Here is a 15,029-nt window from a genome sequence, read left to right as displayed (position 1 = left end):
TGAGTAGGATGAGGTACATTGTTTTTCTTCCAATTAGCTATTTCTCTCTTATTTTTTATTTTTGTTTTACTTTATTTTATTTGAGATGGAGTCTCGCTCTGTTGCCCAGGCTGGAGTGCAGTGGCATGATCTCGGCTCACTGCAACCTCTACCTCCTGGGTTCAAGCGATTATCCTGCCTCAGCCTCCCTAGTAGCTGGGATTATAGGCACCTCCACCACACCCAGCTAGTTTTTGTATTTTTAGTAGAGACGGAGTTTCACCATGTTGGCCAGGCTGGTCTCAAACTCATGACCTCAAGTGATCCACCTGCCTCAGTCTCCCAAAGTGCTGGATTTACAGCCACCTTGTCCAGCCAATTTTTTAAAAATAAATTTCTTGGCCAGGCGCAGTGGCTCACACCTGTAATCCCAGCACTTTGGGAGGCTGAGATGGGTGGATCGCTTGAGGTCAGGAGTTCGAGACCAGCCTGGCCAACATGGTGAAACTCCGTCTCTACCAAAAATACAAAAACTAGCTGGGCTTGGTGGTGGACGCCTGTAATCCCAGCTACTTGGGAGGCTGAGGCAGGAGAATCGCTTGAAGCTGAGAGGTGGAGGTTGCAGTGAGCTGAGATCACACCATTGCACTCCAGCTGGGTGACAAGAGTGAGACTCCATCTCAAAAAATAAATAAATAAATAAATAAATAAATTACTTGATCTTATTAAGTAGAAAAGTTTTGTCTCTTCCTTTATTTTCTTATTTTATTAAGGTTACAGATAAAAGTAAGACTGTTTAACAGGCAGGAGCAACAGAAAACAAGGACTCTTGAAACTTTACAAACTCTATGATCAATTAATGAATGATTGGAAATTGTCTGTACTGAGAATGATGGCTCGCACCTGTAGTCCCAAGTACTCTGGAGGCTGAGGCAGAAGGATCCCTTGAGTTGTGAGTCCAGCCTGGACAACATAGTGAGACCCTGTCTCTAAAAAAATAAATGAAACAGAAATTGTCTGTACTGTACTTAACACAAATTCTACCAACGTATGCCAAATTATGCATAACATATAGAAATAGAATTTCTGCTGTCAAAGTAGTAGATGTTCTGGATAAAACATTTCAGGTTCTGAATAAAGAAAAAACATGAGAGTACAAGGGAAATGCTAAAATAAATACCACTTGAGACTTCAACTGGACCCAGATATTTAATGTGGTAGTGCTGAAAATTATGGGCCTAGCATGGTGACTCACGCCTGTAATCCCAGCACTTAGGGAGGCCGAAGCATGTAAAGCACTTTAGCTCAGGAGTTCAAGACCAGCCTGTGTAACATGGTGAAACCCCATCTCTACAAAAAATACAAAAATTAGGCGGGCATGGTGGCCTGCACCTGTAGTCCCAGCTACTTAGGAAGCTGAGGTGGGAGGATGGCTTGAGCCCAAGAGGCAAAGGTTGCAGTGAGCTGAGATCATACCACTACACTCCAGCTTGGGCCACAGACCCTGCTCTCAAAAAAAAAAAAAAAAAAGATCCCCCGTCCCAGGCCCGCCGGACCCGCGCTAGCAGCGTGGCAGCAGCGTGGCAGCAGCGCGGCAGCGGCGGCGGCGGCGGCGGGCGGTCCAGCGGGTGTTTCTCTCGGGTCGCAGGGTCTCCCAGCAGCGTGGTGGACTACCTGATCAGCGGTGGTACCGGCTACATGCCCGAGGACGGGCTCATCGCGCAGCAGCTCTTCGCCAGCGCCTAAGGCCTCACCTAGGACGCCTTCCTGATTCTCCCAGGACTCATAGACTTCATAGCTGAGGTGGACCTTACCTCAGCCCTGACCCGGAAGATCACGCTGAAGACACCGCTGATCTCCTCCCCCATGGACACTGTGACAGAGGCTGACGTGGCCATCGCGATGGCTCTGATGGGAGATACTGGTTTCATTCACCACAACTGCACCCCAGAGCTCCAGGCCAAGGAGCTACGGAAGGTCAAGAAGTTTGAACAGGGCTTCATCACGGACCCCACGGTGCTGAGCCCCTCCCACACTGTAGGTGATGTGCTGGAGGCCAAGATGCGGCATGGCTTCTCTGGCATCCCCATCACTGAGACGGGCACCATGGGCAGCAAGCTGGTGGGCATCGTCACCTCCCGAGACATCAACTTTCTTGCTGAGAAGGACCACACCACCCTCCTCAGTGAGGTGATGACGCCAAGGCTCGAGCTGGTGGTAGCTCCAGCATGTGTGACGTTGAAAGAGGCAAATGAGATCCTGCAGCGTAGCAAGAAAGGGAAGCTGCCTATCATCAATGATCGCAATGAGCTGGTGGCCATTATCACCGGCAGCGACCTGAAGAAGAACCAAGACTACCCTCTGGCCTCCAAGGATTCCCAACAAGCAGCTGCTGTGCGGGGCAGCTGTGGGCACCCGTGAGGATGACAAATATCGCCTGGACCTGCTCACCCAGGTGGGCGTCGACATCATAGTCTTGGACTCGTCCCAAGGGAACTTGGTGTATCAGATCGCCATGGTGCATTACATCAAACAGAAGTACCCCCACCTCCAGGTGATTGGCAGGAACGTGGTGACAGCAGCCCAGGCCAAGAACCTGATTGACGCTGGTGTGGACGGGCTGTGTGTGGGCATGGGCTGCGGCTCCATCTGCGTCACCCGGGAAGTGATGGCTTGTGGTCAGCCCCAGGGCACTGCTGTGTACAAGGAGGCCAAGTATGCCCGGCGCTTTGGTGTGCCCATCATAGCCAATGGCAGCATCCAGACCATGGGGCACATAGTCAAGGCCCTGGCCCTTGGAGTCTCCACAGTGATGATGGGCTCCCTGCTGGCCATCACCATGGAGGCCCCTGGTGAGTACTTCTCAGACGAGGTGCGGCTCAAGAAGTACTGGGGCATGGGCTCACTGGATGCCATGGAGAAGAGCAGCAGCAGCCAGAAACGATACTTCAGCAAGGGGGATAAGGTGAAGATCGTGCAGGGTGTCTTGGGCTCCATCCAGGACAAAGGGTCCATTCAGAAGTTCGTGCCCTACCTCATAGTGGGCATCCAGCACGGCTGCTAGGATATCGGGGCCCACAGCCTGTCTGTCCCTCGGTCCATGATGTACTCAGGAGAGCTCAAGTTTGAGAAGCGGATCATGTCGGCCCAGATCGAGGGTGGCGTCCATGGTCTGCACTTTTATGAAAAGCGGCTGTACTGAGGACAGCAGTAGAGGCCAAGGTGATGGAGGGGGCACAGCCTCCCCCCATAACTGAGTGGTCCACAGATTTGCATTACGGGTTCCCCAGCTCCTTTCCAGGGAGAGAGGAGGGGAGGCCCTGAAGGGTCTCCGGGCCCTCGCTGGGCATCCCCTGCAGAGTCAGGGCTGCTCCCTGGGCCAGGCTGCCCTGGGAGCCCCCCGAGCCCAGCCAGCCAGGTTCTCAGGCCCTGCACCTGCCTCAGGTCTTTCTTGCTGCAGCCTGCTCCAGCCCAGCCCCCATCCCAGGGGCAGGCAGCCCCTCCTGGTTTCTCCTGTAGGGCACCTCCCTGCCCCCAGCCCCCCCAGGAAATGGTGCTCTCCTGGCCCTGCCTCTGGCCCTTCGTGGGCCGCTGCCCCCTCAGCCATGTAGCACTTCTGAGCTCCTGACCTAGGCCAAGGGGAGGTCTCTGCCCTCTTCCCCGGCCCTGGGCTACCCTTGGGTCCTGCTCCTCAGGCCACTCCCCTGTCCCTGGCCCTGGGGAGGAGGCTGCCCTGGTCATGGCCACCTGCCTGTCATTCCTGACTCATCACCGTCCCCAGTGAACCATTCCTGCCCTCTCCTCAGCTGCAGTTGAAGGCTTTAACTTTGCACACTTTGGGATCACAGTTGCATCATTATGTGTTAAGTAATTGGAATAAATCAAGCAGGTCTCAATGCCAAAGAAAGAAAGAGAAAGAAGGAAAGAAAGAGAGAAAGAAAGAAAAGTAGAAAAGAAAAGAAAAGAAAAAATTTTGTAGACCAGAGTTCATGGGTTTCAGCTCTGGCTTATCTCTTGTCTGGTTGCATGACTTGTCATTTTTGGCCTTAGTTTTCTTTAAAACTATAAGTTTAAGACATGAGCTGTCTCTCTATATCTACCACTTTTTTTTTTTTTTTTTTTGAGACGGAGTCTCACTCTGTTGCACAGACTGGAGTGCATTGGCTGAATCTCAACTCACTGCAACCTCCGCCTCCCGAATTCAAGTGATTCTCCTGCCTCAGCCTCCTGAGTAGCTGGGATTACAGGTGTCCGCCACCATGCCTAGCTAATTTTTGTATTTTTAGTAGAGGCCTCAAGTGATCCACCCGCCTTAGTCTCCCAAAGTGCTGGGATTACAGGTGTAAGCCACCTCGCCCGGCCTATATCTTCCACTTTTAATAACCTATGCCCAGAATCTGAAAAATATTTCCACAGTGGGTGAAGTAATTACGATTCCATGCCTCAGAGGCCTCTCACATCCCTACGTCATCGGAGAGCCGTTTTTGTGCGCTTACCATCTGTGTTCATTTGTGTCCTATGTCCTCTGGGTCTCTTTCCTTGCTATGTTTTATTATGGTTGTATGAATTAAAATCCAAAATCCTTTTTCCTAACAGAAATACTTTCCTCCTGAGCTCTTACTTGCCCCTTTGCTAGCAAGCGTGGTTAATTAGCTCCAACACATGAAGGGTAGAGTCAAACAGGGAATTGTATTAACATCCGCTTTGTTTGTTCCAGGAAACCTATGCAAATAAACAAGAGAAAATTCTGTTACTAAGCAAGTATAACACAATTCAGTTTGCCCAAAGCACTTTATAGTATTTCTTATTGTTTATTCTTCCTGGCAAGACCAAGGCAAGAGAAGGTAACAGGTGCAGATCCATTAATGACCCTCTAGCAGCACATTGCATTGTGATGAAATGGTTATAAGAACTGAATTGGAGGAATGGGGTTAGAGAAGATTGGAACTGTTGGGGTTTTTATTTGAGGCTACAAAATAGTATAGTTTGAGGGCCAGACACTGTGGCTCATGCCTGTAATATCAGAACTTTAGGAGGCCGAGGCATGCAGATCACTTGAGGTCAGGAGTTCTAGACAAGCCTGGCAAACATGGGGAAACCCTGCCTCTACTGAAAATACAAAAATTAGGGCCAGGAGTGGTGGCTCACGCCTGTAATCCTAGCACTTTGGGAGGCCGAGGCAGGCGGATCACCTGAGGTCGGGAGTTCGAGACCATCCTGACCAACATGGAGAAACCCCATCTCTACTAAAAATACAAAAACATTAGCCAGGCGAGGTGGTGGGCACCTGTAATCCCAGCTACTCAGGAGGCTCAGGCAGGAGAATCGCTTGAACTCAGGAGGCAGAGGTTGCAGTGAGCTGAGATTGCACCATTGCACCCAGCCTGGGCAATGAAGCGAGACTGTCTCACAAAAAAAAAAAAAAAAAAAAAAGAAAAGAAAAGAAAAATGAAAGAAATTTCCAGGCTAGGCATGGTGGCTGATGCCTGTAACCCCAGCACTTTGGGAAGCCGAGGTGGGTGGATGACCTGAGGTCAGGAGTTTGAGACCAGCCTGGCCAACACGGTGAAACCCTATCTCTACCAAAAATACAAAAATTAGCCAGGTGTGGTGGCGCAGGCCTGTAGTCCCAGCTACTTGGGAGGCTGAGGCAGGAGAATTGCTTGAACCCGGAAGGCAGAGGTTGCAGTGAGCTGAGATCGTGCCACTGCACCCCAGCCTGGGTGGGAGAATGAGACTCTGTCTCAAAAAGAAAAAAAAGAAATTTCCAGAACCTCAGAAGGCTCCCTGAGGTCCCCTGCCAGTTAGTAATCCCGCTTAAGGGTAATGACTGATTTCTCTTACCATGGATCAGTTGTGCCTGTTTTCATACTTCAAAAACATGAAATTAGGCATTTACTAATTACATTTAGGAATTACTGCTTTGGTTGGCCTCAGTGTCTCATACCTGTAATACCAGCACTTTGGGAGGCCAAGGTGGGAGGATCGCTTAAGCCCAGGAGTTTAAGACCAGCCTGGGCAACCAGGCGAGACCCTGTCTCTACAAAAGATAAAAAATAAGCTGGGTGTGGTGGCACATGCATGCCATGCCACTGCACTCCAGCCTGGGCAACAAAGCGAGAACTTGTCCCTCAAAAAATAAAAATAAAAAAAGGAATTACTGCTTTGTGTTTGACTTTTTTGGAGACAGGTCTGGATCTCCCAGGCTGGAGTGCAGTGGCATGATATTGGCTCTCCACCTGCAACCTCCACCTTCTGGGCTCAAGCTATCCTCCCACCTCAGCCTGCCAACTCCCAAGTAGCTGGGACTACAGGTACATGCCACCCCACCCAGCTAATTTTTGTATGTTTCTATAGAGACAGGATTTTCCCATGTTGCCCATGCTGGTCTCAAACTCCTGAGTTCAAGCAATCTACCTGCCTCAGCCTCCCAAAGTGCTAGGATTACAGGGGTGAGCCCCGTGCCCAGCAGTGTGTTTGATTTTTTTTTCTTTTCTTTTCTTTTTTTGAAACGGAAACTCATTCTGTTGCCCAGGCTGGAGTGCAGTGGCTCGATCTCGGCTTACTGAAGCCTTGGTCTCCTGGGTTCAAGCGATTCTCCTGCCTCAGCCTCCTGAGTAGCTGGGACTACTGGCGGGCACCACCATGCCCAGCTAATTTGTGTATTTTTAGTAGAGAGGGGGTTTCACCATGTTGGCCAGGCTGGTCTCAAACTCCTGACCTAAGGTGATCCACCCGCCTTGGCATCCCAAAGTGATGGGATTACAGGTGTAAGCCACCACGCCTGGCCTGATATCTTTTATGCAATATTATAAAATTCATTCACACAGTTTTGTCAAGGTGAAATAAAATATATAGATGAATCTCTAAAATTAAAATGTTTTGTGAAGCAGGAATTGTAATTCAGGGCACACGCAGACTGGGTGGTCTTTGCCATGTCTGCAGAACAAAGAGAAGGTTGGAAGTTTTGTAAAAAGGAAGTGTTATGTATTGCTCTTCAAGAAAGTTCACTGGCACTAGTAAGGTTTTGGAGAGCTGGCAAGTTTTGATTGGTAAGTGAAGGCAATAAGTAAAACTATTTCTGAGAGTCACAGTAGGTTGTTTTAACAGCTATTAGATAAAACTGCTTTCAGATTATAGCACGCAGTTTCAGCAGTGAGGCTCACTAAGAATGCCATTCTTGGAGTAGTTACATGCCCTGAGTACTTTTTCCCCCAGCCACTCTACTACTTTATTATTGTTATCATTATTATTTTATTATTTTATTTTTTACACAGGGTCTTGCTCTGTCACCCTGGCTGGAGTCCAGTGGCATGATCTCAGCTCACTGCAACCCAGCTACTCAGGAGGCTGGTCTCGAACTCCTGACCTCAGGTGATTGGCCCAACTCGGCCTCCCAGTGTGCTGGGATTACAGGCGTGAGCCACCGCACCTGGCCTGCAGTCTTTTAAAGGCAATTGTCAATTAAATTTCCAAAATGGACTTTCATTCTGTTATTTGAATAGAAATGGTGAGCTCTTGGCCAGCCGTGGTGGCTCATGCCTGTAATCCTAGCACTTTGGGAGGCCGAAGTGGGCGGATCACCTGAGGTCAGGATTTTGAGACCAGCCTGGCCAACATGGCGAAACCCCATCTCTACTGAAAATACAAAAATTAGTGGGCAACCATCCTGGCTAACATGGTGAAACCCCGTCTCTACTAAAAATACAAAAATTAGTGGGCAACCATCCTGGCTAACATGGTGAAACCCCGTCTCTACTAAAAATACAAAAAATTAGCCAGGCGTGGTGGCGGGCGCCTGTAGTCTCAGCTATTCGGGAAGCTGAGCCAGGAGAATGGCGTGAACCCAGGAGGCGGAGCCTGCAGTGAGCCGAGATCGCACCACTGCACTCCATCCTGGGCGACAGAGCGAGACTCCGTCTCAAAAAAGAAAAAAAAAAATTAGCTGGGCAACGTGGCGAGCACCTGTAATCTGAGCTACTCAGGAGGCTGAGGTAGGAGAATCACTTGAACCCAGGAGGCAGAGGTTGCAGTGAGCCGAGATCGTGCCACTGCACTCCAGCCTAGGCTACAGAGTGAGACTCCATCTCAAAAAAAAAAAAAGAAAAGAAATCGCGAGCTCTGCTATAAGGTACATTTGGGGATGGTTCCTAGGTTGTGAAGATGAAGTAAAGGAACTTTGAGAAAGAGACTGCAGCAGTGCCCAGTGTGCCCCTCTTGGCACTGACAGCCCAATCTGAGCCTAGAGATTCTCAAAGGATTCCAGACTCTTGCCCAGGGGCTCTTGGGTCATCCAGAGCATTGCGGGGCAAGACAGAATTAGAACAGACTCAAAAAAGAAAGCTGACCCACTCCTGACCCACTCACTATGTGCATATCTCTAAAGGGACAGGCCTGACCAAATAAGATGGAGCTGCCTTTCGCAAGACATTAGGGGTTAGTGGTAGTGCCGACTTGGGATGGCAGGAGACCCTGCTTCAATCTGGTCTTTGATTCGGCTTGGAAAACAAATCCAAATCTCCTTGTTGACAGAACTTGAGATGGTCCAACAGAGCTCCTTGGAGGTATGAGGCCTGAGGCCTGAAGCCTGAAGTGACCAGCAGGTAACTGGGCACCACAGCCTGAGGCCAATCAGCCCCAAGCAAGAGCATCCTGCTTCCTCAGAGGGTTTGTTTGCTTGAGGAAAGCGAAGGCTGGCAGTCATATTCCTTCAGGATCTTCCAAAAATGTTGGCAAGGGTGATCCTGATGAAGCCCCCTTGTTTGGAGGCCAATGCCAGCTCTAACTGGACTGGCAAGCCAAAAATGACCACTCTCTTTCCTGTAGTTCAGAATTCCCGACCTGCCCTAATGGAGACGCAACCTGAATCCAAGAGTGAGGCAGGCAGCTACAGATAAGTTTACAGCGTGATGACTACTTCATAAAGCACAAAAGACCATGTGGTTTAGATGGCAGGTCATGGAAATCTAAAGGGAATGGTGAAGTTGCACCGTAAGGGGAAGGTGACTGAGGAGCTGAAACTGACTGAGGGGCTGAAGCATTTCGGACAGGAGAAAGGATCAGGAGGAGACAGAGCGGAGAATGGAGCCTCAGGGCTACCCAGCGGTGGGAAGAGGGTAGCCAGAGACTCGTAGGGCGGCCTGGGTTGGTTGTGCTGGGCAGGTTCTCAGTGGTGGGAAAGTCTGGCCACACTGCCCTGACTTCCTGACTGGACTTCACCTCGAGGGTGGGAGCGGTTCCTGCCCCCCACCCCCCCACCCCCCTGTCCAGCCCTTGGAGCCAGGGCACGGTTTGTGACAGATTCAGGGAAACGTTTGGTGCCAGATGGGAGGTAACCGGGTTAAGGCCTGCACTAGGGAGGATTCCTTCCCCCAGCAGCACTGGTGGTCCTCACTTCCGGGTGCCTGCGGATAGGCGGGCTGGGGTCGGAGGTCGGCGGCCAGAAGCCAGATTCCCTTGGCCCCAGCTCGTCCACTTCCATCCAGCAGTAGCCAAACAACCGTTGAAAATGGCCTGGCGGCGGCCGGGAAACACCAGAGAACTATCTTCCAACCCCTAGATCCCGCCCATCTCGTTCCGGCGGTGTTTCCGTGGCGACGCTATCCGAAGTGCGGCTGCGCAAGGGTGACGGCGCGCGAGCAAGGGGGAGGGGGTGTTTTGGTTCTAGCCGCTCGCCGTCCTTGCAGGCTCTGCCGTCGGAAAGCCGCTCATTCTCGCTTCCCCTTCCCTTTCCCGGCTCAAGTCCTTCCTCTCTCTTTCCTTTCTTTCCGCCTATCTTTTTTCTGCTGCCGCTCCGGGTCCGGGCCATTTTCCGGGCCGGGCGCACTAAGGTGCGCGGCCCCGGGGCCCAGTATATGACCCGCCGTCCTGCTATCCTTCGCTTCCCCCGCCCCATGTGGCTGCGGGGCCGCGGCGGCGCTGCCCACTATGGCCCGGAAAGTAGTTAGCAGGAAGCGGAAAGCGCCCGCCTCGCCGGGAGCTGGGAGCGACGCTCAGGGCCCGCAGGTGAGGGTTGAGAGGCCGGCACCTGGGTGGTGAGGCTGAGGAACCAAGATGGGCTTAGGGTCCGCAGATCCTGCGACGGGAATCGGGGTCCAGGGTCTGCAGTCAGAGGCAAAACAGGAATGGGTTCAGGGCCTATAGGGTCAGGACTGGACCCTCGTTAACTGGAGGGCAGATAGGCCAGGGCGGTGAGGAGCCAAAGGGGAACTCAGGAATGGGACATAATCCGCGGGAGGCCTGCATTCGTGGATAGGGCTTGAAAAGAAACCAGAATCTTGGCTTTGGAGGAAGGGGAAACCGAAGTTAAGGGAATCGGAAACAAACTCTGGTAGAGTGAACTCTACCTTCCATGGGCCCTAGGAAGCTGGGATGATTGCGTCCCTCCTGGAAGAAGGAAGTAGTCTCCCTATATGTATACCCAACCCTGAGCTGGGCCTTTCGGCGTTTGGACCCCAAAAGAAACAACAGTTCCCAGGTATCATCTCTATGCCGCCCCCTTTGGAGGGGAAGGCCTTCTTGGACATAGATATGGCCTCTGATTTCCCGGGGGCCTACTACCCCGTTGGCGGTTGATTTTTCGAATTCTGCAACTGCCTGGAGCGCGGGCATGATGACAGAGGAACGGTCATTGATGATGCATCCCTGGAAGACCTGGGAGCCAGGTCTGGCTCCTTGGACTGTATCTTCCGTGCTCCAGTGGGAGTACAGACTGAGAGGGAGAAGGGGGCTGGGTAGAGATGCAGCCCATGTCGGTATGGGAATCACTCTACCTCTCATTTCCTTCAATCTTTCACTCCTAAAATGTCTAGTAAACCTTTTAGTCTGTTCTATTCTGCATTCATTCCCTTGACTTTCAGCCCTTGTAATTCACATTGGTAAGTTTGACTGTGAGCAACATCTTTTTAATGTTGGAAGAGTTAAACGACTTTCTGGATTGAGATTCTTGTTCTCTTGTGTTTGTATTTGTGTTGTTTGTAAATTCTGCAGTATGAGTTATGAGTTGGTGATTTCTGTAATACAGTAGGATCTGTTCTGAAGAAGAGTAGCCAAAGCCCTGATTTCTAATGTTGTTTCCACAGTTTGGCTGGGATCACTCGCTTCACAAAAGGAAAAGACTTCCTCCTGTGAAGAGATCCTTAGTATACTACTTGAAGAACCGGGAAGTCAGGCTACAGAATGAAACCAGCTACTCTCGAGTGTTGCATGGTTATGCAGCACAGCAACTTCCCAGTCTCCTGAAGGAGAGAGAGTTTCACCTTGGGACCCTTAATAAAGTGTTTGCATCTCAGTGGTTGAATCATAGGCAAGTGGTGTGTGGCACAAAATGCAACACGGTAAGTGCCTGGGGGGATGTGACCTCTCTCCTAGGTCGTGGATATATTGCTCCACTTGCTCTAGAACCTCTGCTAGTTTTCCCGTCTGTTTCTTTTAGGAGGGACTTGCCTTACTCTCCTTTCCATTCTTTCCCGTTGGTGACTTCTTCCTCTTTTCGTGTTCCTTTTTTCACTCATACATTTCTTTTCTGATAAGTCCTCAAAGGAGTGTATTTCTTCAGGCCCTCTCTGGATGTGCTGCTTCTAGAGGGTTGTTTGTTTGTTTGTTTGTTTTTGCCTCATATTTTTATGCTGGTTTTTAAGTCATAGGCCTCAAAGGAAAGATTTAAGAAATAATGATGCTTAGAGCATCATTCAGGATACATAATAGTGAAAACAGCCTAAGAACGTATGTCGAAGTATTTAAAATAGCACACTTGGCTGTTTTTTAGTGAACAGAATCTAAAAATGTATAAACTGAAATATGAGAAATACATGAACTGTTTCCTATAAGGAAGGCAGGGAATGTGTGTCTGGTAGTATATTTCAGGGTATAAGCATTAGCTCTTTGGAAAGTAGCCTTTTTAAGAGTGAATAGAAAGACAGTTATAAATGAATGAAGTGAAAAATTTCTCAGTAAGCTTTGTAACCAACCCAATTATAGGCCAGGATAAAATAAGTCAAAGAGCAGAAACGTTTGGAATAGAGTCCACGAATAGCATGATGTCACAAGACTGGCAAATGAAAAGAGGCAGGGCCTAGGGCCTAGGGGTGGGAAATGATTACGCCCAGCCCTCCCTCGGTTTTCACCTCCCCTGTGTGAATGGACAAGTAATGTCATAATGTGTGAGTAAATTGACCCTGGAATGAAACACATTTTGGATCATTAAAAGAGAGAAGATTGCTCTAGATCAAGAAAGTCTTAAGTACTAGGAGAAGTGTCTGTTTATAAAGGACATAGGCAAAAATTTAAACAGTTTTAAGGAAGGAAATAATACCATGGTGGTTGGTCTGTTTATAAAGGACATAGGCAAAAATTTAAACAGTTTTGAGGAAGGAAATAATACCATGGTGGTTGGGGCCAACCTTTCGTTTCCTCTTCTGTTGAGGAGTCGCTTGTCTTACCCAGAAGCCTTTCAAAACTAAGTGGTGGCAACGGGCCTCCACAGAACTTCCTTTTCTTGGTCTCTCCAGCTGCCCACTCGTGGTTAAGAACTGTCATCCTTGTCACTTGGAGTAGAAAAAGAGTCTCCTGCTTGGAAGAGTTCATTCCACTCCCCGCACGTGCATCATAGTGTTTAGCCTAGCAAATATTACTGAATTGTAAACTGAATTAATCATCATAGCCTCTTGCTTGTTGAATTTATTGACACTATTTTGAAGGCGAGCATAATAAGTAATAATTTAACCTACTCTTAATTCCTACCTCTTTCTGTCTTCCTAATCCTCATAACCTAGTGTTTGGGGCAAGGGGAGCTGTTTTCATTTTATAGTTAGTATTTGTTTGTTTTTGCTTAGCTTCCAGAACCAAAGCAGGGAACTAGGAATAGTGCTCTTCTCTGAACTTTGTGACATTGGGCAAATGATTCCCTTATTTGTGCTTTTGTTTTTGCATCTGCAAAATGGGAGTGATAATATCTGGTGCTAAGGTGTCTGCATGCATCTGGGAAATATTCTGAGTGAGCAATATCTTACTTATTTAAAAGTACTAGTAGCGGTAAAAATGATTTCCATAACCTTTTCCCACAATTTGAAGAGAGGAAAATTATTTAAAAATTGGAATTGTCTTTGGATAATGTGTGAAGATTTCAGAGGTGGGAGAGATTATGTTGTATTCTCAATAGGAAAGTTTTGATGTAGAATGTCCCTGTGCTGTGGGCTAACAATCAAACTAGGGTAGTCATTCAATCCCCAGATTTCTTGGCCCCAGCTAGCACAGCAGTAACAGCAAGGATAGCCACTGTTGTTTTTATCATTAATAACAATAAAGTCATATTTTTACTCAACTGCTTAAGTAGAGGTGGTATAACCTTAATTAGAACATGGATCTGGCAGCTGGGATGGGTTAGGTATATGTTCATGGTTTAGACTTACGCAAATTCAGATTGGCTGCGGAGCCAGACAGAAAAGCTAAGTGAAGAAAAGTTTGCTAGGCGCAAGACAGTAAGGAGTAGTAGGGGCTGCAAAGAACTACAGAAGGCATTCTTGACTTTAACCAACTGTTGCCGTGTAGGAATTTGAGCCTAGTGTTAAAAAGATTTTCTTTCGCAGGGCAAGGTGGCTCACACCTGTAATCCCAGCACTTTGGAAGGCCAAGGCGGGCGGATCACCTGAGGTCAGGAGTTCGAGACCAGCCTGGCCAACATGGTGAAACCCTGTTTCTACAGAAGTACAAACAAATTAGCTGGGCATGATGGTGGGTGCCTGTAATCCCAGCTACTCGGAAGGCTGAGGCAGGAGAATTGCTTGAACCCGGGAGGCGGAGGTTGTAGTGAGCTGAGATTGTGCCATTCTACTCCAGCCTGGGCAACAGAGTGAGACTCCGTCTCAAAAAAAAAAAAAAAAAAAAATTGATACTAATGTCTTGAACCTATATAACTGGAAAGATGGCAGGGTGAATGTTAAGGAACAGATTTGGGTTTTGTCCTTTTCATCAATTAGTTGAAGCTTGGCAGAGAGTAAGGATTGAAGTTAATGATTTGGCAGTCATTTATGTAGAAGGAATTATTGAAATTGTTACATTATCATGGGAAAGACAGTAGAGAGCAGGCATTCCTGGCTTGAGTTGTGTAAACTTTCCCTAAAATTGCAAAGTTTTGATTATATGTGTACTTTCTGGGCAAGATTTTGGGGGGGTGGTGTGGGAAGTCGTTCTTAGTTTTTGTCCTTAGATTTTGAAAGAGAGTACTATGAGCCAAAAATGGTTAAGAACCACTGATACTGACAGATAAGCTAAGGAGAGAACCTTGGAAAACATGTACATTTACAGGGCAAGAAGAACTGCTGCGGGGGAGCAGGGAACTCAGGAAAACCGGGAGAATACAGAAAAGAATTCAAGAAAGGAGGACTTTATTTTTGTTTGTTTGCTTTTTTGGTTTTTTTGAGACAGAGTCTCGCTATGTCACCAGGCTGGAGTGCAGTGGCGCGATCTCAGCTCACTGCAACCTCTGCCTCCTGGGTTCAATCGATTCTCCCGCCTCAGCCTCCTGAGTAGCTGGGATTACAGGTACCTGCCACCACACCCAGCTAATTTTTGTATTTTTAGTAGAGATAGGGTTTCACCGTGTTGGCCAGGATGGTCTCGATCTTCTGACCTCGTGATCCGCCTGCCTTGGCCTCCCAAAGTGCTGGGATTACAGGCATGAGCCACCGCGCCTGGCCGAAAAGAGGGCTCTTGAAGGGGCTGGGGGTGGGGTGTGATTTGAGGAGAAGGATGGCAATCGGCAGAGTGATGATCTACACAGTTGGAGGTATTTAATTTTGGACGTGAACTCTTATTTCCCATTGTCAGCACTCTCCAGTCAAAGACTACCAGGGACTGTTCTTGTAGCAGAACAAGTCAGATATAGTTGCTTGTTGTACCTAGGAGAACCTTCACCATAAGAGAGCGAGGGACCTCTCGGTAAGAGTGCTGGAAAGGAGTTACAACACTGGGACTTGTTGCACGTGATTTGGGGGACGGCTTAAGGATATAGCACTTTGCTCCAGATGGATACTGTCACGACGGGCAAATTC

General features: G+C 48.7%; 1 protein-coding gene and 1 pseudogene across 1 annotated transcript in view, besides 2 other annotated features; both read left to right on the top strand.

Moving 5' to 3' along the window:
* Positions 1,520-3,879, top strand: IMPDH1P1 (inosine monophosphate dehydrogenase 1 pseudogene 1; annotated as a pseudogene).
* Positions 9,390-10,091: an enhancer, noted in NCBI's record as "H3K27ac hESC enhancer chr9:34126245-34126946 (GRCh37/hg19 assembly coordinates)". NCBI's record gives its function as "activates a minimal SCP1, AML or CMV promoter by ChIP-STARR-seq in naive H9 embryonic stem cells {active_cell/tissue: H9 hESC(naive)}" and the evidence as "EXISTENCE:reporter gene assay evidence [ECO:0000049][PMID:30033119]".
* Positions 9,640-15,029, top strand: part of DCAF12 (DDB1 and CUL4 associated factor 12) — a 40,312-nt gene continuing 34,922 nt past the window's right edge. Inside the window, exons 1-2 of the mRNA NM_015397.4 lie at positions 9,640-9,984; positions 11,061-11,315. Coding sequence (NP_056212.1) covers positions 9,907-9,984; positions 11,061-11,315 — 333 coding nt within the window. The 5' untranslated portion in view covers positions 9,640-9,906. The remainder of the gene's footprint in view (positions 9,985-11,060; positions 11,316-15,029) is intronic.
* Positions 9,906-9,955: a silencer, noted in NCBI's record as "silent region_19842". NCBI's record gives its function as "represses an Ori minimal core promoter by ATAC-STARR-seq in GM12878 lymphoblastoid cells {active_cell/tissue: GM12878}" and the evidence as "EXISTENCE:reporter gene assay evidence [ECO:0000049][PMID:35858748]".

The sequence above is a fragment of the Homo sapiens genome, chromosome 9, assembly GCF_000001405.40.
Source record: "Homo sapiens chromosome 9, GRCh38.p14 Primary Assembly".
Taxonomy (NCBI): Eukaryota; Metazoa; Chordata; class Mammalia; order Primates; family Hominidae; genus Homo; species Homo sapiens.
The sequence above is the reverse complement of the archived record's forward strand: the minus strand, read 5'-3'. Positions and strand labels throughout refer to the sequence as shown.